Source organism: Homo sapiens, chromosome 19 (assembly GCF_000001405.40).
Source record: "Homo sapiens chromosome 19, GRCh38.p14 Primary Assembly".
Taxonomy (NCBI): Eukaryota; Metazoa; Chordata; class Mammalia; order Primates; family Hominidae; genus Homo; species Homo sapiens.
Genome location: NC_000019.10, coordinates 41,705,623 through 41,731,135, shown reverse-complemented (window position 1 = coordinate 41,731,135; position 25,513 = coordinate 41,705,623). Strand labels below are relative to the sequence as shown.

General features: G+C 48.0%; 1 protein-coding gene across 8 annotated transcripts, besides 3 other annotated features; it reads right to left on the bottom strand.

Moving 5' to 3' along the window:
• Positions 1 to 616: 616 nt before the first annotated feature.
• Positions 617 to 22,510, bottom strand: CEACAM5 (CEA cell adhesion molecule 5). 8 transcript variants are annotated; one of them, NM_001308398.3, is made up of 10 exons: positions 22,341 to 22,510; positions 21,097 to 21,456; positions 15,887 to 16,165; positions 15,232 to 15,486; positions 13,403 to 13,678; positions 12,754 to 13,008; positions 10,928 to 11,206; positions 9,960 to 10,214; positions 3,784 to 3,902; positions 617 to 1,952 (listed from the first exon to the last, which is right to left on the bottom strand). In NM_001308398.3, exons 1-9 carry the CDS (start codon positions 22,402 to 22,404, stop codon positions 3,820 to 3,822), a joined length of 2,106 nt encoding a protein of 701 aa, NP_001295327.1. In that variant the 5' UTR covers positions 22,405 to 22,510; the 3' UTR covers positions 617 to 1,952; positions 3,784 to 3,819. The 8 variants fall into 8 exon arrangements, with proteins under 8 accessions (NP_001295327.1, NP_001427249.1, NP_001427250.1 ...); NM_001440320.1 differs by having other exon boundaries at positions 617 to 1,926; NM_001440321.1 differs by having other exon boundaries at positions 13,403 to 13,681; positions 21,313 to 21,456.
• Positions 24,120 to 24,169: a silencer, noted in NCBI's record as "silent region_10670". NCBI's record gives its function as "represses an Ori minimal core promoter by ATAC-STARR-seq in GM12878 lymphoblastoid cells {active_cell/tissue: GM12878}" and the evidence as "EXISTENCE:reporter gene assay evidence [ECO:0000049][PMID:35858748]".
• Positions 24,200 to 24,249: a silencer, noted in NCBI's record as "silent region_10669". NCBI's record gives its function as "represses an Ori minimal core promoter by ATAC-STARR-seq in GM12878 lymphoblastoid cells {active_cell/tissue: GM12878}" and the evidence as "EXISTENCE:reporter gene assay evidence [ECO:0000049][PMID:35858748]".
• Positions 24,270 to 24,389: a silencer, noted in NCBI's record as "silent region_10668". NCBI's record gives its function as "represses an Ori minimal core promoter by ATAC-STARR-seq in GM12878 lymphoblastoid cells {active_cell/tissue: GM12878}" and the evidence as "EXISTENCE:reporter gene assay evidence [ECO:0000049][PMID:35858748]".

The window sequence follows — 25,513 nt, the reverse complement described above, 5'->3', positions numbered from 1 at the left end:
ATGCTGCTAATGTCAGCCGTTGAGTGGACTAAAGGATCTCTTATGTAAAAATTTGGTAGTGATATCATAGATCTGATACTCTGTTAAGCTACCCTCAGAAGATACTTCCTGTGAAATTCTAATTACAACATTATCCTGCCAAGTGAAAGAGGCAGGCATGAGCTAGGACAAATTAAGAGGGGTAGGAGCCTCATCATGGTAGGAAGTCTTGTTCTGACATCTTGGGGAAAGCTGTCTACAGCGTGAAGTTGTCAATTTCTTGTCCTGGTTTGCAGTTTCAGTGTCTCTAGTTATAGTGTTGAACATACTGGTGAGCTCTGAGTGGCCCACACCTTAGGCATGAGTGTTTTCCCATGAAATTTACATTGAGTTATCCATCTGTAGCTTATAGAGCTTCAGGAACAGAGCAGACTTTGCTCTTAGTGATTCCATGGTAGAAAATGGGATTGAAGAAAGTGGAAGAATTCATGGTCCACTCTAGTCTACAGGTGGATAATAAAAACTCAACAATGTACAAAGTGACAGTCTCATAACAGGTGTACTATAGTTTTTTTTCAACATAATTTCTCTTCATAGGCATCTCTATTTCTACCAAAGATAATCCCAATAAGACAAATTTGTTTTCAAAATAAGTTTATTTTCATCAGACTTGGCCTCATTCTTTTCATAACTGCAGCAAGAGTAGTGACTGACCACATAGACTTTTTTTTTTTTTTGACGGAGTCTCACTTTGTCTCCCAGGCTGGAGTGCAGCGGCATGATCTTGGCTCACTGCAAGCCCTGCCTCCCGGGTTCATGCCGTTCTCCTGCCTCAGCCTCCTGAGTAGCTGGGACTACAGGCCCCCACCACCACGCCCGGCTAACTTTTTTTGTATTTTTAGTAGAGACGGGGTTTCACTGTGTTAGCCAGGATGGTCTGGATCTCCTGACCTCGTGATCCGCCCGCCTCGGCGGATCAAAGTGCTGGGATTACAGGCGTGAGCCACCGCGCCCGGCCCACACAGACTTTTTTAAAGTTGCTTTGCTGGAAGTTTTTATAAGGAATCTCAGATTAAACTTTTAGAAGTTTAATTGACACTAGGAAGCCAAACCAAGGCTGACTTCAGACTTTGTTTGTAGTACCTGTGGGTTTATTACCTATGGGTTTATATCCTCAAATACGACATTCTAGTCAAAGTCTTGGTAATATAACCAATGTTTTCAAATGTATTCTGTCATACAAAGAGCAGATTTTTATTGAACTTGTGCAATAACTATATTACCATACAATATAAATATTCATGAATAGTTTCCCAAGTCTGGAGCGACCACATAGGGAGAAAATGTAAATGTCTCAATTTTTGTTCACAAAAGTATATTTTATCAAATTGCTGTAAGCTGTGGATAGCTTAAAAGAAAAAAAGTTTCCTGAAATCTGGGAAACAAGACATTTAAAGAATCAGCAAAATTTCAAATAAAAAATTATGAAAATATTATCCTCATTAGTTCATTTAGTCCCATGAAATTAATTATTTTCTCTGCTTGATCTTGGTGGACAGTTTCATGAAGCTGTCAGTTAGTTCATTAAAGTTTTGGAAATTCTCAGACAGTGCAGTGGTATCAGAAACTTGTATTCAAGAGTACAGGTCAGAGTCTTCTTTTCTTTTCTTTTTGAGATGGAGTCTTGCTCTGTTGCCAGACTGGAGTGCAGTGGTGCGATCTGGGCTCACTGCAATCTCCACCTCCCGGGTTCAAGCGATTCTCCTGCCTCAGCCTCCCGAGTAACTGGGACTACAGGTGTGCGCCACCAAGCCCAGCTCATTTTTGTATTTTTAGTAGAGATGGGGTTTCACGATGTTGGCTAGGATGGTCTCGATCTCTGGTCAGAGTCTTTTCTGTAAATATCCTTGGTAAAGAAGCAATTTTAGACTGTAGCTGTTGCAAATGCTTTAAGGAAGAAGCAAAACAACTGTCTGTGAATGACAAAGATTTAAAATGAGTACAGTTAAAAATCTGATGATAATTTATTATAATAAGAACACAACTCACATAGAAATTTAGTTACTTCTGTGGCATATGACATTATGGCTGATAACCAATTAGATTTCTAGAATTTCTTATATAACTTTTGGAATACATCAATAACATACTCATAAATATAACTTAGAGAAGGTTTAACATCACTAATGATTTGACAGTGCTTCCCATATAATTTAACATATCAAATAAGGTGGCCTTTCCATTCAGCTTCTGTTTCTCAACTAGATTCCTAATTTCCTGGTGGAGCCCATTAATGAACAGGGCCAACAAAGTATAGGCTTACGTATGTTGAAAAACTCCACAGGCAATTCTTTTTTTTTTTTTTTTTTTGAGACGGAGTCTTGCTCTGTCGCCCAGGCTGGAGTGCAGTGGCACGATCTCGGCTCACTGCAATCTCCACCTCCCGGGTTCAAGCGATTCTCCTGCCTCAGCCTTCTGAGTAGCTGGAATTACAGGCACGTGCCACCATGCCCAGCTGATTTTTTTGTATTTTTAGTAGAGAGGGGGTTTCACCATGTTGGTCAGGCTGGTCTTGAACTCCTGATCCGTCCGCCTTGGCCTCCCAAAGTGCTGGGATTATAGGCGTGAGCCACCGTGCCCAGCCAGAAAAACTCCATGGGCAATTCTAATCCTCCTAGCTGAAAGTCATGGGTTTAGCCCCAAGTCCTACCTATTTAGAACAGGGTTTCTCCATCCTGGCTACACATTAGTAGCATCTGGGGAGGCTTAAAAATTACGAATGCCTGGGTCCCACTCCAGACCAGTAAATCGGAATTTATCGGTGGGACTTAAGTATCCATTTTATAAAATGTTTCTGAGTGATTCCAATGTGTAGCTATATTTTCCGTCAGATTTCTCTAATTTCTTGTGATGTTCACTCCTTTCTATTTTGGCATTATGATTATTTTTCAGGTTTTGTCTCCTGTTATAGAATTAAGGACCTTGCCTTCTTCATTTCTGTATCTGTTATGAACATATGAATTGGTTATCAGGAAAAGGTTCTCAGTCACAGGCACAGTTGTGTCCTGAGCTTAAGACTCACAGGTTAATGCTACAGTCTTTGTTCTTCATGAGGTCAGAAGTTGCTTGTGATTAAGGGTGTGGGTAACTCCACAGTGCAGACAGTGGAAGGAGGTCACCCTGTTTGACATGTTTTTAGGTGTAACACCGGAACTAAGAATTCTGTGTACATGTGGGGTGGAGAGGCAGGGATGTGTAGGGAAACAGATCTATTAGGATGATGGAATTATATAAGGGAGTGGTGGTAAAGGAAGTAAAAAAGATTAGTAAAGAGAAGAAATGTGAACTTATCTAATACACCACAGTAGGCCCCTGTGTCTTCTTGAGTAGGCGAGTGAACTAGATTTTAGGAAGGTAATGAGGCAGTCATATGCAAGAAAGATTTCAAAGACTGGCAACAAGGGGTCAAGCAGGACTTTGAGCAGTTGTTGAGGTTTATGGGAATGGAGAGAATGACACAAGTGTGAGATGTTAAAAAAGGACCAAGAGGCTTTGACAATGTATTGAATCTGGGAAACAAATGAGCAGAGGGTGGGGATAATTATATCTAAGAGACAGTGGCGTACAGGGAGCATGAAGACCAGGGAAGAAGAGACCTGCAGGAATTAGTGCTGAGAAGCAGGAGCTTGGGGGTAGGAGGAAGAGATCCAGTCCCAGATACAGGTGAAGAAATCCCTTCCCTCTCCCAAGCATGGCAGTCAGCACTGCAGGAAACAGAACAAGAGGAAAGGCCATTATACCTACCAGTCTTCCTGAAATGAAGAAACTACACCAGGGCTGCTATATCAGAGCAACCCCAACCAGCACTCCAATCATGATGCCGACAGTGGCCCCAGCTGAGAGACCAGGAGAAGTTCCAGATGCTGAATCGTCCGTCATGGAAAGAAAAGAGAAGGAATGAATGTGATGTTATTTTACAGTGGGGTGCCCCAGGTTCCAGCTCTCAGCATGAAGCAGTCTCTACTTGTTGCTTCAAGGAATGCATTAGTTTTGTGGGAAAGTTGCAATTTTTTCTCTCTCACTGTGTTGCTAGTTGGTGATCAGTCTTCTGTCAATTCCACCCTGGCCTGTCTGCACTCAGCTATTTCTGAAGGCTTTGAAATTTGAGAAAGTCTGATTGCTATTTTTGCGTGTCATTAGAACTTTCTATCTTTTCATGGTTGCATCTTTTTCTCAGTGTCTCAGTTGTGGTAGGCATAAATAAGTCTGTTGGGTCTCTGTGGCAGGGACTTGATTGGCAGAAGGCCCAGGCTAGTGCATTCTGTATTTACTAAGTCCGTTGCACAGAGAACTCGCTTCTCATGGGCTCCCACCAGGGGAATGAAAAGCCCAGTTCTGGGGGACTCTGCTTCTCTCTCATGGGTGAGGGGCTTGAGGACGCCCCACCAGCCTTGTGGAAACTCTGAGAACTGCATCACTATCTAAAACTCTCTCCTCTTTCTCCTTCTCAGGAATCAGATCTGCATCGTGGTCTGAGGGCTCTCTCAGGCTCCTCCCACTTCTACTCCACTTTTCCTCATGGTGGTTCCCCCCGGTAAATTATCTTGCACCTCTAATTCCATCTTGGCTGAATCTCAGTGGATGAAAACTAACATACCAGGCTTGATTCTTTGCACTTAACTTTTTTTTCTCTCCCCCATTTTTAGCCAGTAACCATGTCCTAGTGGGTTTTCATTTGGGGCTTGGCTCTCACTAGTCAACTCAGGCTGATGATTAATGCTATGTTAGCTACTGTAAATGCTTTTCTGGCATCTCATTTGATCCATACAATAACCCTGTTGGGTAGGCATGATTTCCATCTTACAGATGAAATGACAGAGACTTGGAGTGGTGAAAAAACTTATCCAAAGTCATATAATTAGTGAGAAGTGGATCTAGGATTTGGCTCTAGAACTGCCTAACTTCAAGCTAATAATAACAGTAGTGATAATAGCAGCTAATATTTATGAAGTTTCCCTCTGTGTGTAGCATTTTGCTGAAAGCTTAATCGAATATTACATTAAATCTTTAAAACAATACTGTTAAACAGTCATTCTTATTGCAATTTTCATTTTTCCTCCATTTCCTGGTGATGAGAATTATTACAATTTTCAGTTGAAGAATTGAAGGCTCAGAGAAGTTAAGAATCTTGTGTGAGAAATTTAATGGTAAATACATTAAATATAAAGAGAGATCTCAAATCAACAACCTAACTTTACAACTTCAGGATACAGAAAAAGAACCACCTCAAACCACAGATAGTACATGAAGGAAATAATAAGGATTAGAGTTTAAATAAATAAAATGGAAAATTGAAAAACAATAGAAGGAATCAATGAAACCAAAAGTTGGTTCTTCAAAAAAGATCAACAAAATTGACAATCATTTATTAGATTGACTAAGAAAAAAGAGAGAAGATTCAAATTACTAAAATCAGAAATGAAAATGGAGGTATAGCGGCTCACACATTTAATCCCAGCACATTGGGAGACTCAAGCAAGAGGATTACTTGAGGTCAGGAGGTCAAGACCAGCCTGGGCAACATAGGCAGACACAGTGTCTACAAAATTTCTTTAAAAAACTATCCAGGCTTGGTGTCACATGTCTGTAGTCCCAGCTTCTCAAGAGGCTGGGGCAGAAGATCACTTGAGCCTTGGAGGTTGAGGCTGCAGTAAGCTATGATGGCACCACTGCACTCTAGCTTGTGCTGGGCTACAGAGTGAGACCCTGTCTCTTAAAAAAAAAAAAGAAAAAAAAAAAGAAAATGGAGATATTGCTACCAATGCTACAAATTCTACAGAAATATTAAGGACTACAAGAATGCTATGAATAATTGTATGCCAACAAACTGTTGAATAACCTAGATGAAATGGACAAATTCCTGGAAACACAAAAAAATTTAATAGGCCTATAATTAGATAGAACCAATAAAAGCATTTGACAAAATTCACCATTCTTTCACAACAAAAACACTCTAATTATGAATGGAAGGAAACCACCTCAGCATAATAAAGGCAATGTGTGAAAAGCCCAATGCTAACATGATACTCAATGGAGAAAGACTGAAAGCTTTCCCTGTAAGACCAGGAACAAGACAAGAATGCCTGCTTTTGCCACGTCTATTCGACACAGTATTAGAAGTCCTAGCCAGAGAAATTAGGCAAGAAAAAAAAAGACATCCAAATTGGAAAGAAGTAAAATGATCTGTGTTTTCAGATAACTTGGACTTCTCTGTAGAAAACCCTGAAGATTAAAAAACTTGTTAGAGTTAATAAATAAATTCAGTGATGTTGCAGGATACAAAATCAACACGCAAACATCAGTTGTACTTCTACACACTAACAATGAACAATCTAAAAGGAAATTAAGAAAAAATTTCCAATTCACATTAACATAAAATAGTATAAAATAGTTAGAAATAAGCTTAACCAAGGAGGTGAAAGGATTGTACCCTGAAAACTATAAAACACTGCTGAAGGAAATTAAAGACAACATCAATAGATGGAAAGACATTTTTTTTTCATGGATGGGAAGTCTCAATATTGCTAGGAGGACAATACCACTCAAAGTGAGCTGCAGGTTCAACGCAATTTGTACCAGAGTCCCAGTGACATTTTTTGCAGAAATAGAAAAACATATCCTGAAATTCATATGGAATCTCAGGACTCTAAATAGCCAAACAACCTGGAAAATAAAGAATGAAGCTGGAGGACTCACACTTCCTGATTTCAGCATTTGCTATAAAGCCACAGTAATCAATACAGTGTGGTATTGGCATAAAGGAAGATATTGAAACCAAAGCAATAGAATATAGAGCCCAGAAAGAAATGCTTGCATATATGGCCAAATGATTTTTGATAACGGTGCCAAGACCATTTAATGGGGAAAGGACAGTCTTTTCAACAAATGATATAGGGAAAGCTGAATATCCATGCACAAGAACAAGTTGAATCTTTGCCTGATACCATATATGCAAATTAACCTAAAATGGATCAAAGACCTAAATGTAAGAGTGAAAAGTATAAAACTCTGAGAAGAAAACATAGGGAAAAAAGCTTAATGACATTTAATTTCACAGTCATGTCTTGGTTATAACAACAAATAGGCAACAAAAGAAAAAAATTGATAAACTGGACTTCATGAAAATTAAAAACTTTTTTTTTTTTTTTTTGACAGAGTCTCGCTCTGTCACCCTGGCTGGAGTGCAGTGGTGCGATCTCAGCTCACTGCAAGCTATGCCTCCTGGGTTCATGCCATTCTCCTGCCTCAGCCTCTTGAGTAGCTGGGACTACAGGCGCCCACCACCACGCCTGGATAATTTTTTTTGTATTTTTAGTAGAGACGGGGTTTCACTGTGTTAGCCAGGATGGTCTTGATCTCCTGACCTTGTAATCTACCTGCCTCGGCCTCCCAAAGTGCTGGGATTACAGGAACCACCGTGCAGGGCCTCGAAAATTAAAAACTTTTATATATTAAAGAACATTATCGAGAAAGTGAAAAGGCAACCTATGAAATGGGAAATATATTTGCAAATCATATATCTGATAAGGGATTAATTTCCAGAATATATGAAGAACTCTTACAAATCAACAACCACAAAAATCCAAAATCCCAATTAATAAATGGACAAAGGACTAAAGTAGAGATTTCTCCTAGGAAGATATACAAATGGCCAACAAGCACATGCAAATATGCTCAACATCACTAACACTTAGAGATATGCAAGTCAAAGCCACAATGATACTCCACCTCACACACATCAGGATGGCCACAAAACAATAAGTGTTTTCAAGGAGGTGGAAAAATTGGAACTCTAGTGCATTGCTGATAGAAATGTGAAATATTAGCTACTGTGGAAAATGGTATGGTGGTTCCTCAAAAAATTAAATAAATAATTAACATTTGGGGCCGGACACGGTGGCTCATGCCTGTAATCCCAGCACTTTGGGAGGCCAAGGCAGGCGGATCACGAGGTCAGGAGATCGAGACCATCCTGGCTAACACTGTGAAACTCAGTCTCTACTAAAAATAAAAAAAAAAAAATTAGCCAAGCTTGTTGGCGGGCACCTGTAGTCCCAGCTACTCGGGAGGCTGAGGCAGGAGAATGGCGTGAACACGGGAGGCGGAGCTTGCAGTGAGCCGAGATCGCGCCAGTGCACTCCAGCCTGGTCGACAGAGCGAGACTCCATCTCAAAAAACAAACAAACAAACAAACAAACAAACAAAAAAAAGAATTAACATTTGATCTACCAATTCCATTTCTGGACATACACCAAAAAGAATTGAAGGCAGTGATTTGAACAGATATTTGTACACTGATGTTCACAGCAGCATTACTCACAATAGCCAAAAGGTGGAAACAACTGAAAAGTCCATTGAAAGATAAGTGGATAGAAAAATGAGGTGTATCCATACAATGGAATGTTCTTCAACCTTAACAAGGAAGAAATTGTGATACATGGTGCAAAATGGATGAACCTTGAAGACATTATGCTAAGTGAAATAGGGCAGACACAAAAGGACAACTATTATATAATTCCATTTTTGTAAGATCGTTAGAATAGTTGATTACCTAGAGACAGAAAGTAGAATGGAGATTACCAGAGTTTAGGGGAGAGAAGGAGTTACTGTTTATTGGGTACAGAGGTTTAGTATGGTAAGATGAAAAAGTTCTGGAAATGGATAGTGTGATGTGATGGTTAGACATGAGTATAAAAAGACTTGATTTATTTTTTCCTTTTTTTTTTTTTTTTTGTGATGTAGTCTCACTCTGTCACCCAGGCTGGAGTGCAGTGGCTCAATCTCGGCTCACTGCAAACTACACCGCCCAGGTTCGAGCGATTCTCCTGCCTCAGCCTCCCGAGTAGCTGGGATTACAGGCACCCACCACCATGCCTAGCTATTTTTTTTTTTCTGTATCTTGAACTCCTGACCTCAGGTGATCCACTCGCCTTGGCCTCCCAAAGTGCTGGGATTACAGGGATGAGCCACCACACCGGGCAATATACTTGATTGATATTTATGCTGTTTCACTTAATTGTACACTTAGAAATGGTTAATGGTAAGTTTTATGTTAGATATATATAGTGGCTGATAGTCTTACCCTCTCTATAAACACACACTTTTTGGCACTGCCTGTTCCCTCCCATGCAGAGCCCCTATGGCTGAATCTCCCTATTTCTCCAAGTGTGTGTCACTCACTTTCCTCTGCTGTGTCCTATGTGCTGTGTCCACAGCCTCATACAGCCAGTGACTTCAGAGCCAGGACACAGCTCAGGAGTCTGTCCCGAGGCTCCCTCTTTTCCCATTTCCCTGCAACCTGACCCAAGGGAGGCTCTGCTGTGGATTGGCAGCTTGATTTACCCAGATTCAAAACAGGCCACCTGGACACCTTCTCCACATGCCCCGGTCCCACCCCAAGTGGAGCCAGGGCAGAGCCAGTCACCGGGTGAGCCGGGCGCAGAGCAGGGAGCAGAGTCTGAGCTGCTCCTGCCTCATCCAAGGGGCTTCCTCCTCTCATTTGGGGAAAAAGTGTGGGCTGGTTTCAAAGCCTCCTTGTTCCTTGTAGCTCACAGAGTAGGTGAAAAAACACAAAGAGGTGACAGAAAGGGACATATTGGTGATAGAGAGGAGCAACTCGACCTTAAGGACCCTTCTTTCTTCTGGACTATGAAGTCCCTTTCACTATTGGGGGCCTTCTGGGGCTAAGGGAGGCCCCTCCCCACATTCCAGGCTGGACCCGAGGTCAGCCGTGAGATATCAGAGAAGCCGGGGAGGAGAGAGTTGGCCGAGATGGAGTGAGGGGGCTCAGGATAGAATTTGGGATTTCCTTGTGCCCATGGAACACAGACTGGGAAAGAAAATGTCTTCTTGGCTCTTTGGTGAGAACCAGATAGACTCCACCCCAGAATATGATGCTGATGCTCCAGGGAGCCACTTACCAGAGACTGTGATGCTCTTGACTATGGAATTATTGCGGCCAGTAGCCAAGTTAGAGACAAAACAGGCATAGGTCCCGTTATTATTTGGCGTGATTTTGGCGATAAAGAGAACTTGTGTGTGTTGCTGCGGTATCCCATTGATACGCCAAGAATACTGCGGGGATGGGTTAGAGGCCGAGTGGCAGGAGAGGTTGAGGTTCGCTCCCGAAAGGTAAGACGAGTCTGGGGGGGAAATGATGGGGGTGTCCGGCCCATCTGGAACAAAGAGAACAAAGCCACAGGTGATGTCATCAGAGGAAAGGGGAAGCTCCTGATTGTAGAAGGGCCACAGTGTCCCTCTGAATCCTGTCCCAATCCTGTGTTAAAAAGTCCAAATCGGCCGGGTGCGGTGGCTCACGCCTGTAATCCCAGCACTTTGGGAGGCCGAGGCGGGCAGATCAGGAGTTCGAGACCAGCCTGACCAACATGGTGAAACCCCGTCTCTACTAAAAATACAAAAAACATTAGCTGGGCATGGCGGCACGTGTGTGTAATCCCAGTTACTCGGGAGGCTGAGGCAGGAGAATGGTGTGAACCTAGGAGGCGGAGCTTGCAGTGAGCCGAGATCACACCACTGCAGTCCAGCCTGGGCGAAAGAGCGAGACTCCGTCTCAAAAAAAAAAAAAAAAAAAAAAAAGTCCAAACCATAACCCTCATGTCCACTGAGTCTGGGTCTGAGACGTTCATCTGTTTCTCCCATCATAGGCTGTGGACTCTGAGCCTCCTAGGACAGGAGCAGCCTCTCCCCTCCTATTCTTGGTCCAGGCTGAGGTTGCCCAAATTTTCCTGGGACAGGAAGTTATGGCCAGCCTGGGTGTCCAGGGGTGGGAGTCTGCCTCTTTGGACCTGAGGAGAACTGAGAGTCCTGGCCTCTGGCTGTGTGGATTTGGGTTGGAAACCAGGGCCACAGAGGAACAGAAGATACTCACAGAGGACATCCAGGGTGACTGGGTCACTGCGGTTTGCACTCACTGAGTTCTGGATTCCACATACATAGGCTCTTGCGTCATTTCTTGTGACATTGAATAGAGTGAGGGTCCTGTTGCCATTGGACAGCTGCAGCCTGGGACTGACTGGGAGGCTCTGACCATTTACCCACCACAGGTAGGTTGTGTTCTGAGCCTCAGGTTCACAGGTGAAGGCCACAGCATCCTTGTCCTCCACGGGTTTGGAGTTGTTGCTGGAGATGGAGGGCTTGGGCAGCTCCGCTGTGCAGATAACAGAGAGAAGATTGCCCTGTGTGGCACTTTTGATTCCTCACAGGCATCTTTCAATCAGAGTTGGCAACTCCCACCCTTCAGCCCACCCGAGTCCTTAAAAGCCCATGGCAGGTGTGTGTATCACAAGACAGATGTACGATGATCTGAGGGCTCAGAGACTGTAAGGCCGGCTGCTTTGTGTGGGGGAAGCACAGACTTTCTCAAGTGTGAATTGGGCAGCAGCGTTGGGTTGTGGACAGACCCAGGACTGGGAGTCACAGCCCCCAGCACCTCCTTTGGTTCTTCCCTGATGGCTGACGGCCTGGCCAACCTGGGGACTTGTGGGTGCTGAATTCCGTTCAGCTGCACGGTCCCACACCACCCAACCGTGGGGTGTTTTCTCTGAGCCTTTTGTTTCAAGGCTATCCTGGAGATGGGTGATGACGGGGATGGGTGTTTAAGCAGAAATAGCTCAGGAGACCAGGAGCAAGTCTAGAGGTGAGTTCAGGGGTCAGGCTGTGGGCCACAGGTGGGCAGCTCTACCCAAGAGTTTGATGGGAACAGAGTTTCATTTTAGGAAGAAGAAAAGAGTTCTGTGGGTGGATGGTGATGATGGTAGCAGAATAATGGGAAAATATTTAATGCTACTAAACTGCATACATAGAAAGGTTAAAATGGTGTCTTATGTTAGATATATATAGTGGCTGGTATTCTTACCCTGTCTATAAACACACACTTTTTGGCACTGCCCCTTCCCTGCCATGTTGAGTCCCCATGGGTGAATCTCTGTGTGTCTCCAAGTGTGTGCCACTGACTGTCTTCTGTGCTGTGTCCCATGTGCTGTGCCCACAATCTCATACAGCCGGTGACTTCAGACTCCAGGACACAGCTCAGGAGTCTGCCCCGAGGCTCCCTCTCTTCTTATTTCCCTGTAGCCTGACCCTGGGAAGGCTTGGCTTCATCTGGCATCTTGACTTAGCCAGATTCAGGACAGGCCACCTGAGCACCTTCTCCACATGCCCGGATCCCACCCCAGGTGAAATCAGGGCAGGGCCAGTCACTGGGGGAGCCCGGAGCGGAGCCGGGAGCAGAGTCTGAGCTGCTCCTCCCTCATCCAAGGGGCATCCTCCTCTCATTTGGGGAAAAAGTGTGAGCTTGTTTCAAAGCCTCAGTTGTTCCTTGTAGCTCATGGATTAGGTAAAAGAACACAAAGTGGTGTCAGAAAGGGACATATTGGTGACAGAGAGGAGCAACTTGACCTTGAGGACCCTTCTTGCTTCCCCCTCTGTGAAGCCCCTTCCACTACATAGGGCTCAGGGCTGATGAAGACCCCTCCCCACATTTCTCAGGGTGGACACAAGGTCAGCCATGAGAAATCAGAAAAACAAGGGGAAGAGTGTTTGTAGAGACAAATTGGGAGTGCTCAGGATTGAATTTGGGATTGCTTGTGCCCATTGGATGCATACTAGGAAAGAAAATTTCTTCCTGGCTCTTTTCTGAAAACCAGACAGATTCCGCTCCAGAACATATTGCTAACGGTCCAGGGATCCACTTACCAGAGACTGTGATTGTCTTGACTGTAGTCCTGCTGTGGCCACTGGCTGAGTTATTGGCCTGGCAGGTATAGAGTCCGCTGTTCTTCTCAGTGATGTTGGAGATAAAGAGCTCTTGTGTGTGTTGCTGGATGTTCCCATCAATCAGCCAAGAATACTGTGCAGGTGGGTTAGAGGCTGCATGGCAGGAGAGGCTGAGGTTCACCCCTGGACGGTAATAGGTGTATGAGGGGGAAATGGTGGGGTCGTCTGGGCCATCTGGAGCAAAGAGAATAGGGCCACAGGTGAATGTCATCAGAGCAAAGGGGAAGCTCCTGGTCTGTGAAAGGGCAACAGTGTCCCCCTGAGCCAAGTCACAATCCTGAAGTCCTAACCAAACCCCTACTGTATCCAATTAGCCAGAGTCTGAGACATTCATCTGTTTCTCCCATCACTAGCTGTGGATCCCGAGTGTTACAGGACAGGAGCAGACCCTCCCCTCCTATTCTTGGTCAGGACTGGGCCTGCATGGATTTGCTGGGGGTAGGGCCAGCCTGGATGTCCAGGGGTAAAAGTCTCTGTCCTTGGGCCTGAGAGGGACTGAGAGGCCTGGACTTTGGCTATGTGGATTTGGGCTGGCAGCCTGAGCCACAGAGGAACAGAAGATACTCACAGAGGACATTCAGGATGACTGGGTCGCTGTGGTCAACACTTAATTCGTTCTGGATTCCACACTCATAGGGTCCTACATCATTCCTTGTGACACTGAGTAGAGTGAGGGTCCTGTTGTCATTGGACAGCTGCAGCCTGGGACTGACCGGGAGGCTCTGATTATTTACCCACCACAGGTAGGTTGTGTTCTGAATCTCAGGTTCACAGGTTAAGGCTACAGCATCCTCATCCTCCACGGGGTTGGAGTTGTTGCTGGTGATGAAGGGTTTGGGTGGCTCTGCTGTGCAGATAACAGAGAGAAGATTGCCCTGTGTGGCACCTGTGATTCCTCCACGGGCATCTATCAATCAGAGTTGGCATCTCCCACCTCTCAGCCCAACTGAGTCCTTAAAAGCTCATGGCAGGTGTGTGTGCGTCACAAGACAGATGCACAATGATCTGAGGGCTCAGAGACCATGAGGCTGGCTGTTTTGTGTGGGAGAAGCACAGACTTTCTCAAGTGTGAATTGGGCAGTAGCATTGGGTTGTGGACAGACACAGGGCTGGGGGTCACAGCCCCCAGCACTTCTGGTCCTTTCCTGACTGGCTGGCTGCCTGGCCCATTGGGGTCCTCACCTGGAATTTGAAGGAGCTGCGTTTCTTCCAGCTGCACAGTCCCACACCACCCAGCCAAGTTGTGTTTGCTCTGAGGCTTTGCTATTTAAGGACATCCTAGAGATAGGTGATGATGGAGATGGATGTTTGAGCAGAAATAGTGCAGGAGACTAGGAGCATGTCTAGAGGTGACAAGTCAGGGATCAGACTGTGGGCCATAGATGGGGCAGCTCTGCCCAGGAGTTTGATGGGAACAGAGTTTCATTTTGGGAGGAAGAAAAGAGTCCTGTGGGTAGATGGTGGTGATGGAAGCAGAACAAGGGGAATATATTTAATACCACTGAACTGCATGTGTAGAAAAGTTAAGATGGTAAGTTTGTGTTAGATATGTACTGTTACCATCTGTATAAACACACGATTTTTGACACTGCCATTCCCTGCCGTGCAGAGCCCCTGTGGTGAATCTCCTGATTTCTCCAAGTGTGGGTCACTTGCTGTCCCCTGTGCTGTGTCCCATGTGCTGTGCCCACAGCCTCATATAGCTGGTGACATCAGAGCCAGGACGCAGCTCAGGAGTCTGCCCTGAGGCTCCCTCTCTTTCCATTTTCCTGCAGCCTGACTGGGACGAAGGGAAGCTTTGGTGTTGATTGGCAGCTTGATTTAGCCGAATTCAGGACAGACCACCCGGGCTCCTTCTCCACACACCTCGTTCCCACCTAGGTGGAGTCAGGCAAGGCCAGTCACCCAGGGGAGCCCAGAGCAGAGCAGGGAGCAGTCTGAGCTGTGTCTCCCTCACCCAAGGGGCTTCCTTCTCTCATTTGGGAAAAAAGTATGAGCTTGTTTCAAAGCCTTGAATGTTGCTTGTAGCTCATGGAGTAGGCAAAAGAACACAAAGAGGTGACAGAAAGGGACACATTGGTGACAGAGAGAAGCAACTTGACCTTGAGAACCCTTGCTCCTTCCCGCTCTGTGAAGCTTCCTCCACTACACAGGGCTGTGGGGCTGAGGGAGCCTCCTCCCCACATTCCAAGCTGGACCTGGGGCCCGCCATGAGAAATCAGAACAAGAAGAAAAGAGTCTGTAGAGACATATTGGGGAGGTTCAGTGGGAGAATCTGGGATTTGCTTGTGCCCACTGGACACAGGCTGGGATAGAAAATGTCTTCCTGGCTCTTGTTTGAAAACCAGACAGACTCCACCTCAAAACATGATGTCAGTGCTTCGTGGATCCACTTACCATAGACTGTGATCGTCGTGACTGTGGTCCTATTGAGGCCAGTGTCTGAGTTATGGGCTTGGCACGTATAGGATCCACTATTATTCACAGTGATGTTGGGGATAAAGAGCTCTTGGGTGGATTGCTGGAAAGTCCCATTGACAAACCAAGAGTACTGTGCAGGTGGGTTAGAGGCTGCGTGGCAGGAGAGGTTCAGATTTTCCCCTGATCTGTAAGATGTGTTTAGAGGGGAAATGGTGGGGGCATCCGGGCCATCTGGAGCAAACAAAATAAAGCCACAGGTGATATTGTCAGAGGGAAGTGGAAGTTCCTGGTCTATGGAAGGACCACAGTGTCCCTCTAAGCTGAATCACAATCCTAAAGTCTCAGCCAAACCCCTCTTGTATCTACTGAGCCTGAGTCTGAGATATTCACCTGTTTCTCCCATCATAGGGTGTGGACCCTGAGCCTCCCAGGACAGAAGCAGCCCCTCCCCTCCTATTCTTGGTCAAGACTTGGTCTGCCCAGGTTTTTCTGGGGCAGAAAGTCACAGACAGTCTGGATGTCCAGGGTTGAGGGTCTGTGTACTTGAACCTGAGAGGGACTGAGAAATCCTGCCTCTGGCCCTGTGGATTTGGGCTGGCAGCCTGGGCCAGAGAGGAGCAGATATACTCACAGAGGACATTCAGGATGACTGAATCACTGCGCCTGGCACTCACTGGGTTCTGGGTTTCACATTTGTAGCTTGCTGTGTCATTTCTTGTGACATTGAATAGAGTGAGGGTCCTGTTGCCATTGGACAGCTGCAGCCTGGGACTGACCGGGAGGCTCTGATTGTTTACCCACCACAGGTAGGTTGCGTCCTGAGTCTCAGGTTCACAGGTGAAGGCCACAGCATCCTTGTCCTCCACGGGTTTGGAGTTGTTGCTGGAGATGGAGGGCTTGGGCAGCTCCGCTGTGCAGATAACAGAGAGAAGATTGCCCTGTGTGGCACCTTTGATTCCTCACAGGCATCTTTCAATCAGAGTTGGCACCTTCCACCTCTCAGCCCACCTGAGCCCTTAAAAACCCACGGTGGGTGCATGTGTCACAAGACAGATGCACGATGATCTGAGATCTCAGAGACTGCGAGGCTGCCTGCTCGGTGTGGGGGAAGCACAGACTTTCTCAAGTGTGAATTAAGCAGCAGCATTGGGCTGTGAACAGACACAGGACTGGGGGGGAGGTCACAGCTCCTGGTGCCTCTCCTGGTCCCTCCCTGACCAGTTGACTACTTGGCCCACTGTAGGGTCCTCACCTGGAACATTCAAGTGCTGGGTCCCTTCCACCTTCAGTCCTACTTTGTTTCCCTAGGTATATTTTTTCTGTGGTTTCCCTTTGCAAGGACATCCTAGAAATGGATAGTGATGGGTCTTCCCATTGTCCTTAAACCCTGTACATATTGTGCAGCCTGGCCTGGGACTGGATGTTTCAGTAGAAATAACACAGGGGACACCAGAGGCAAGCCTGGAGGTCAGCTCAGTCGTTAGGCAGTGGAGGCACAAGGTGGGGCAGTTTTTCCCAGGTGTTTGATGATGACTGACTTGAGCCAGAGACCCCTAAAGATAGAGTGGAGTCCAGGGAATGATCTAGAACTTCAGGTGACAGGCAGGAGCTGCCCGGATTTAACAGCAGAACCATATGTATGTTCTTTGTCTTTGGTCTTTGTTTGTTTGTTTGTTTTTTGAGATGGAGTCTTGCTGTGTTGGCCAGGCACGATCTCGGCTCATGGCAACCTCTGCCTCCCGGGTTCAAGCGATTCTCCTGTCTCAGCCTCCCGAGTAGCTGGGACTACAGGCGCCCACCACCACACCCAGCTAAATTTTGTATTTTTAGTAGAGATGGGGTTTCACCATATTGGTCAGGCTGGTCTTGAACTTCTGACCTCAGGTGTTCTGCCCACCTTGGCCTCCCAAAGTGCTGGGATTACAAGCATGAGCCACTGCACCCGGCCTGTCTTTGGTCTTTAATGTCCCTTCTCCCCTTGCAGAGGGCAGGCGAGGATGCTGTGGATCTCTCCATAAATACATGTGGACATTTGCAAATGCAGAACTGACTGGTGGAAAAGGGGGAGCATGAACTGCTGGAAATCTGGCCCTCAAGGACCATGTGTGTTTGACAGTTATGAGACAGAACTTTGAGAAGAAGTTTTGCAATTATTTTCTCCCATTGGACATTATGCTAAATGAAATAAGCCACTCACAGGGCAGATACTGTAGGATTCCACTTATATGAAGTCCCTAGAGTAGTCACACTTGTGGAATCAGAGAGTAGAATGGTGGTTGTCAAAGCCTGGGAACTGGGGGAATGGAGAGTTGTTCATGGGTCTGCAGTTTCAGTTATGCAGGATGAGGAGGTTCTAGGGATCTGCTGTTCAGCTTGGTGCCTATAGTTCATACAGATTGAGTATGTCTTATGTGTAAGGCTTAGGACTAAAAGTGTTTTGGATTTCTGACTGTTTTTGAGTTTTGAATATTTGCAATATACTTACCAGTTTAGCACCCCAAATCTGAAAATACGGAATCCAAAGTGCTCCAGTGAGCCTTTCTTTTTTCTTTTCTTTTCTTTCTTTTTCTTTTTTTTGAGATGGAGTCTCGCTCTGTTGCCAGGCTGGAGTGCAGTGGCACGATCTCAGCTCACTGCAACCTCCACCTCCCGGGTTCAAGCGATTCTCCTGCCTCAGCCTCCAAAGTAGCTGAGACTGTAGGTGCATGCCACCACGCCCAGCTAATTTTTGTATTTTTAGTAGAGACGGGGTTTCACCATGTTGGCCAGGATGGTCTTGATCTCTTGACTTTGTGATCTTCCCGCCTTGGCCTCCCGAAGTGCTGGGATTACAGGCATGAGCCACCGTGCCCGGCCTTCAGTGAGCATTTCTTTTGAGAATCATGTCAGTGGTCAAAAAATGTTGGATTTTGGAGCATTTCAGATTTTGGATTTTAGGATTTGGGATACTCAATCTGTAGTACTATAATTTGCCCTTAAAAATTTGTCAGGAGTTTAGATCTCATGTTATTTTCTGACTATAGTTAAAAAAGTGAAAGACATTTGGGGGAAACATTAAATTTTTTCCATAAGTGGAAATTCTTATCAATGGCCTAAAGATCTAAGATCAATTGCTGGAAGTAGTACTTCTTTTAATATTATGCTAAGGTTTAGGTCTGCTCTGAATTCCAAAGTGATCACATTATGCTCAAAGGAAGATGCTGAAAGTGGTTTGAAATCAGTGACTCCCTGAACAGAGAGAGGGATGTGAGACCTGTTAAGAGGACAGAACCGGTCAGAGAGGAACTCTTAGGTGTGTCAATTACATAAAGGGAGAAATGATGCCAAGTTAGGAGAAGCAATGTGTGTGATGTTAGTAAATTTAGAAAGCGCTCCCTGCCCCTAGTTCCTGTGCAGAGTTAGGCAAAAAGAGGAGAAGCCTCAAAACAGGCATGTGAAAGGTTTTCTTCCTCTCCTATCAACCTCAGAAAACACAACTAGAGTTTAAGTTTTTGTAACTGGGTAGAGTCTAAGTGAGACGCCAGTGGCTGGTTCACTTCTCAGTCCAAGGGACTCCACCTTATGACAATGGCATCATCATGAGGACACAGGTGTATGTGGAATGGGCAGCAAACCTATCAGACAGCACCTGCCTGGCCAGCTCCACCTGGGGGAGGTCCCAGGATCCACTGGAGGATGTGAGCCCCACACCAGGATGAAGATGGAGTGGGTAGTGAAGTGAGTGAAATAAGCATGCGGGCTTTGGGGACTGCAGACCTGTCCTTCTGCCTCTGACCCCCTGGTGAGTCAGTGTAGGGAGTGGATGGAGGAGTCGCTCATTCCCGTCCTGCTGCCTGTTCCGTGTGTTGGCCTCATGGAAGTAAAGAGCCCTGGGCAGGAACACAGCGGAAGCTCATTCTCCTGGTGACCTGTTGACATTGGCTTGTGATGGAGCCTGGCAGGGGCTCCATCTGTGCCTTCCCTATTGCCTGTGATTTCTGTGCCTTCCCTATTGCCTGGGAAGTGGGCCAGGACACAGTGTGAGCGGCAAGAAAACAGGACAGCCAGCCTTGTTCAAGGGAGTGTCTGGGGAAGGCCTAAGAGTGGAGGAAGATGTTCAGGGATGGGCATCTCAGCTGGAATGAAGAGGGAGGAAGACGAAGAACATGGAGGAATAGAAGAAAGTCAGAAATGCCCATGGCAATGAGCCATGCGGGGTATAGTGACCTCGGAGACCCCAGGACTAGGAGTCCCTTGGCTGTCCCGACCAGGACCAGGGAGCCTTGAAAACCCTCCCATGGCCAAGGAACCCCAGAGTCACATGAGATAGGGTGGCTTTCGGGACAGGGGGTCAGAGGAATGGTACATGGATCTCAGCCCCTGATGGACACGGAACAGGTGTGGTCAGAACCTCCCAGGATTCTGCATCCAGGATCCAGTCTCTATAGAGGTTATGGATCATTCCTTCACTCATTCCCCCCTTCATGAGAGAGCTACTGAGCAAGCGTGTGTCTCACTTTGGGCCTCTGTTGGCACAGGGTGTGAGTGGGGAGAGAAAGCGAAGTCCTTTCCTTTATCCTTCCGTGGGAGTGACACTGACACATCGGGAAACACAGGATTTGAGGTCATGTGAGGGGGCTGTGGATCTCAGGGAGAGGCCTGGACAATCCCGGCACTGACCCTGACTGTTGAGGTGATCTAGTTCTAGAGTAAAACTGATTATTTCTCCATTTACTTATCACTCTCCAGACCAGAATCTCCGCTTCTGAGCTGTGGATGCCCAAGACAAAAGAACGCAAGCCCATGACTGGTCTCAGATGCAGATGCCTAACAACAAACAGCCCCACCCACCCCCAGTTGAGGAGAGGAGGGGGCTGTGGCTACAGACAGACCTCATGTGACTTCAATCTGACACCTATGGCCTGTGTGACCCTTGTTAGTGACTGTCTCCCTGTGCCTCAATTTCCTTTCAATAAGTAGGATAAGTGCTATTTGGCTGTGAGGTTGTTTGTGAATTAACCTCAAAATATTTACAATTACTTGATCTCAGCTCTGCACAGAGGAGCTGCTCAAATGAACATCATTTATGTTTATTTGCCTCCAAGAGAGAAGGCCCTGGGCCTGATCCCTGGTGGACAAGGAGCTGCCGGGAGCATCTTCTCTCCTCTGTTCCTCTTCCTGGGGACACTGAGCTTCCCATGGAGTCACCTATGTCCCCAGGGCAATGGACTGACACCCTAATAACCTTGTCTATCTATCCTCCCCACATTGAGTCTCAAGTAAAGGACAAGGCTCTGTCCTTGTCCAAATGAGACTCTGGGGACAGGGAACAAGTGTGGCCAGAAAGTCCGATTCTGCATCCAGAATCCAGCTCCAGGAGCCACAGCCCTTGGACAGCTGCTAAGTCCTTGCTTCCAGTTAGCCTTGCCCAGGAGGCCACAACACAGCCCTGGCACAGGCTCCCCTGAGTCACCTGGAACCAGGAGCCCTGGGGCTGAGCTTCTCTGTGAATATCCCAGGGGTCCCTCAGGCCAGGCTCTGATGCAGTTCTCCAGGGTCTTTCTCAGGGTCAGGTTTACGGGGAGGGCACGGGGTGCTTGGCTGAGACTGACCTCCCCCTGCTAAGTCCCCCACATCAGACTGTCCTTCCTCTGCAGTGAGTGTCTGCAGGGTCTGGATGCCGGAAAGGAATTCTGATCTGTTGAAGTTTGTCTCTTCTGTGTGTATCCTGCACTAAATGCCCAAACCCTAACATGGTGCGTAATGCAGAGGGGGCCACAGGCACAGCCCAGGCCTGATAATCCTGTGTGTGGGAAGTAGAACTGACCCCCAACACCCAGAGGTCATGGGGGAATCACTCACGGTATACCCGGAACTGGCCAGTTGCTTCTTCATTCACAAGATCTGACTTTATGACGTGTAGGGTGTAGAATCCTGTGTCATTCTGGATGATGTTCTGGATCAGCAGGGATGCATTGGGGTATATTATCTCTCGACCACTGTATGCGGGCCCTGGGGTAGCTTGTTGAGTTCCTATTACATATCCTATAATTTGACGGTTGCCATCCACTCTTTCACCTTTGTACCAGCTGTAGCCAAAAAGATGCTGGGGCAGATTGTGGACAAGTAGAAGCACCTCCTTCCCCTCTGCGACATTGAACGGCGTGGATTCAATAGTGAGCTTGGCAGTGGTGGGCGGGTTCCAGAAGGTTAGAAGTGAGGCTAGGAGAGAGCAGAGAGCATCGGTCAATATTGGGACCTATGCATTAGGGTGGAAAAATGGGGTCCTGGGTCCTGAGCAGGTCTCTTCATCCCCCAGCCCTGGAGTGAGTGAGTGTGTGTGTGTGTGTGTGTGTGTGTGTGTCCTACTAGGTCAAGGTCAGCAGTGTGTCTCCTATTTCCTTAGCACCTCTGACCTTGGCATTTCCCTGTGTGGAATCTGCTTTTCCAGGGGTCTTCACGGCTCCCTCCCCATTGCCTTCAGGTCCTGCTCACATCAGGGCATTCTTGGGAGATCCCTTCCCTGACACCTCCTCTAGAGACCCTGGGTCTTCCTTTTCTGACCTTTCCCTGCTCTATTCCCTCCAGGGCTCTTGTCAACACCTGACCTCACATTCTAGATCTCTTTGTATGTCTGTCTTCCTCCCCATGAGAGCATGAGCTTCATGAGGGCAGGGATTTGTGTGATCTTGGTTGCACCCCAGTGCCTGGGACAGGCTGCAGATTCCTGTGGATGAGTTCATGAGGGTTCCCAGGGCCCTCCACAGCCTGGGGCTTATTTTCCAATGTCCGCGGTAGGCGGATGAGGACAGTGTTTCATGCCCTGGTTATGTTTTTATTTAAAGTGTCATCTGATGCAGTTATTATGATTTTTAAAAACGTAGTGGCCAGTGACAATTAACTAGGAAAATAGAACTCTTGAGGTTTTCCTGCCCCTTTCCAATTCCAGTTCAATTTGATTTTTCTGGTGTGACTCCTGTCCCTCTCTGATGTCCTCTTCCCTATTCAGGCTCCAACAGGAGCCCTCTGTCCGTCTCACAGCCCTGTCCTACCCAGGAGACCCCAGCTCCCTCCTCCCACCCTCTCCCAGGTTGTCCTCCCTTCACCTGTGAGCAGGAGCCTCTGCCAGGGGATGCACCATCTGTGGGGAGGGGCCGAGGGAGACTCCATGGTCTCTGCTGTCTGCTCTGTCCTCCTCTGTGGAGAAGAGCTTGAGTTCCAGGAACGTTTTGTCAAGGCTGCTGTGACTGTCTGGTCTGCTGTCCTTCCTCCCTCTGCCCTGAGTCTCTTCCTAGGGCAGGAGTACTTCTCAGCATCACGTGGGTCATGGGTGTGGTCTTTATTCAGGTGTCCTCTGTCCCCTCCCCTCTCATTTCTGCCTCTTTTGTCCCTCCTCTTTTTTCCCTTCTATTTTCAGTTCCTCAGACAAATCTTTTCGGCAAGGTGGATGGACCCCCATCCCCTGGGAGGACAACCTGTCTTCCCCAGTGCTGACCTCTGCTGTGTTCTGTCCTTGGGTCTGTCACACCAGGGGGATTATTTTCCTTTGTGACAGAGAAACCCAGCAGGGTCCCGGGTCTCCCCATGCTCTCCAGGGCTCTGGGAAGGTGGGATGATGCCCAACAGGAAGGTGACAGAGGTGGCTCTGGGGGCTAGAAAAAGGCTCACTGGGTGGTGGCTGGGGAGGGACCAGCCCTCTGTCTCCAGTACCACCAACCCCGCCACTGACCCAGGGATGGAGACCCAGGCCCAGAGGTCTCAGGAGTCCCCAGATCCTGCATGTGGAGGGGGAGGTGTCTTGTGTGTCCTGGAAAGAGAGGACTGTGGTGGAGGGAGGTGGGTGACTCTGGGCTCTGCTGTCCTTGGGGAAGGCTCCAGGGGGACCCTCCCTCTCCGTGTCTGTTGGCTGAGCTGCGGCTCAGGGCCTGTCCATGTTCTCCCTGACAGTCCTGGGTGGTCTCTGTCCTCTGCGAGGCTGACTGTCCTGTGATCACCCCACCTTCCCCATGGTGGTACCAGGAGGGAGTCTGGAGTTGCACAGGGACCCCTGGCAGAACAGGGTCCTCATAGGACCCAGAAAGGAACAGAGCAGGTATGTGGGAGAGATCAGAAGGGTCTGTTGGAGCAAGGGATGGAAACCAGGCTCCACCTCCACTTCCTTAGCAAAGCCAGGTTCCTGTCCAGGGGAATCCGTTTCCTGAGTGATGTCTGTGTGCAATGTCACCCCCTGGAGGGCAAGAGGAGACCTCCGGCCTTGTCTGGAACTGCCCTAGGGATGCTGACCAGGGTCGACGTGGTGTGAGCTGACCCTGAACTCTGGATTAGGCTGCAGGGTCAGGCCGGAGGATCTATTCCCTGCAGGCCTCTGTCCTCCCTTCTGAAGCTCTGGGGGTTGAGGCCTCATTCCTGGGGCAGCCGCGGGCACTTGCTGGCCTCCTCCCATGCTGGTGCCAGTGCCCCTGTGTCCACATGGAACAGACTCTGACTGCTGGGGGCCACACGGAGGTGATATGCTTCTTTTTAGAGATCTCCCACACATTTAACCAGTATTTATGGAGCATCTGTTCCGTGTCAGGCACTGGGCTGGGCCCTGGGATTCCACAGAGAGCAGGACAGACGTGGTCCCTGTCACAGAGTTTTCCTGTAACCGGGAGACAGGCGCTCAGTGAACTTCATGGGACTGAGGAGTTAATGGTAATGACAGGGCTGTGAGGTGACAGCATAGGGGGCGTCGGAGCCTGTGAGAGACTGAGCTGTCCTGGAGATCACAGGGAGCTGCCCTGGGAGACGCCCTTTCAGCTGAGCCCGGGGAAGGAGGGGGTGTAGGGGACAGGAGCTGCCTGCAGAGGGCAGCCGACAGGCCTCAAGTGGGCGGCCGACAAGCCTCAGGTGGGCGGCCGATAGGCTGCAGGGAGGAGCTGACAGAGTCCGTGTGAGGAGCTCGGAGGGCGAGGAGGACGTGGGCCGAGGTGACCCGGGTGAGGGTGGACCCTGCTGGGCTGTGGGCCCGGCTGAGGGAGGTCAGCAGCCCCTGGGGAGGCTCCAGGGTGGGAGGAACTCTGCCGCCCTCTGGTGGACAGGAGGGAAGTGGGGACAGCAGCGGCCCCAGACCAGGCTGTTTTACTCAACACTGATCTCTAGACATTGAACACGGGTCATGCACATGTTATGCCAAAGTGCTACCAGGTTTCAGCTCGGTGAGCCCCAGTCTCTGTGGCTACAAGTGTACTGTCCTCCCTCTTTCACAATCAGATGTCCCCAAATGCAGATTTTTGTCACCTTTTGTGACTTTGCTTTTGTCGGCAGGAGGCTGCGCTGTGCATGCTCCCAGGGGCAGTGATGTCTGGGGCTAAGCGTGTGCGGGGATCTGGGAGTAGAAGATTGTATTAGTCTGTCCTCGCATTGCTATAAAGAAATACCTGAGACTGGGTAATTTATAAAGAAAAGAGGTTTAATTCGCTCATCATTCTGCAGTTGTACAGGAAGCATAGTGGCTTCTGCTCCTGGGGAGGCCTCAGAAAACTTACAATCATTCTGGACGGTGAAGGGGAAACAGGAACGTCTTACATGGCAGAGCATGAGTAAGAGAGAGAGAGAGAGAGGGGAGAGGTGCTACACACTTTTAAACAACCAGATCATGTGAGATCTCTATCACAGAAACAGCATCAAAGCAGAAAATCCACCCGCATTATCCAATCACTTCTCACAAGGCCCCACCTCCAACATTGGGGTTTACAATTTGACATGAGATTTGGGCGGGGACATAGATCCAAATCATATTTGAGAGAGAGGGGCATGAGGAGAAGGTGAATGTTGGGGTAGCAGAGAGGAGCAGGGACAAGTCAACCTCACTTCTCACTCCCTGGGGACCAGAACAGGAGAGCCCGACTCTGGGGGCACAGCACCACACACTCTGTGTGTCCGTGCATCAGGGGAGGTGGGAGCTGCTTCTCTGTTCATGGGACCTGGCCTCACCTGCTGAGATGTCTTCACACTTAGTCCCATCCTGGGCTGCAGCCCCACAGAGCCTGTGTCCTCCTCTCCTCTCCTGCCCATTCCTGGATTTTTCTTCCTGAACCATCTTCTCCCATCTGTGGCTTCACCTGCTCCCGTTTCAGGCAGCTGCCCCTGGATCATTGCCCTGTCACCATCTCTGGGCTCACTGGCCTCTGCCATTTGTTCTGAGACTTGAGCCCTGAGCCCTGAGCCCTGTGAGGGAGGAAGAGTGAAGTGGGGTGGGCGCTGTCCAAGGTGCTGCCCTCTCTGGACAGCTTGAGTG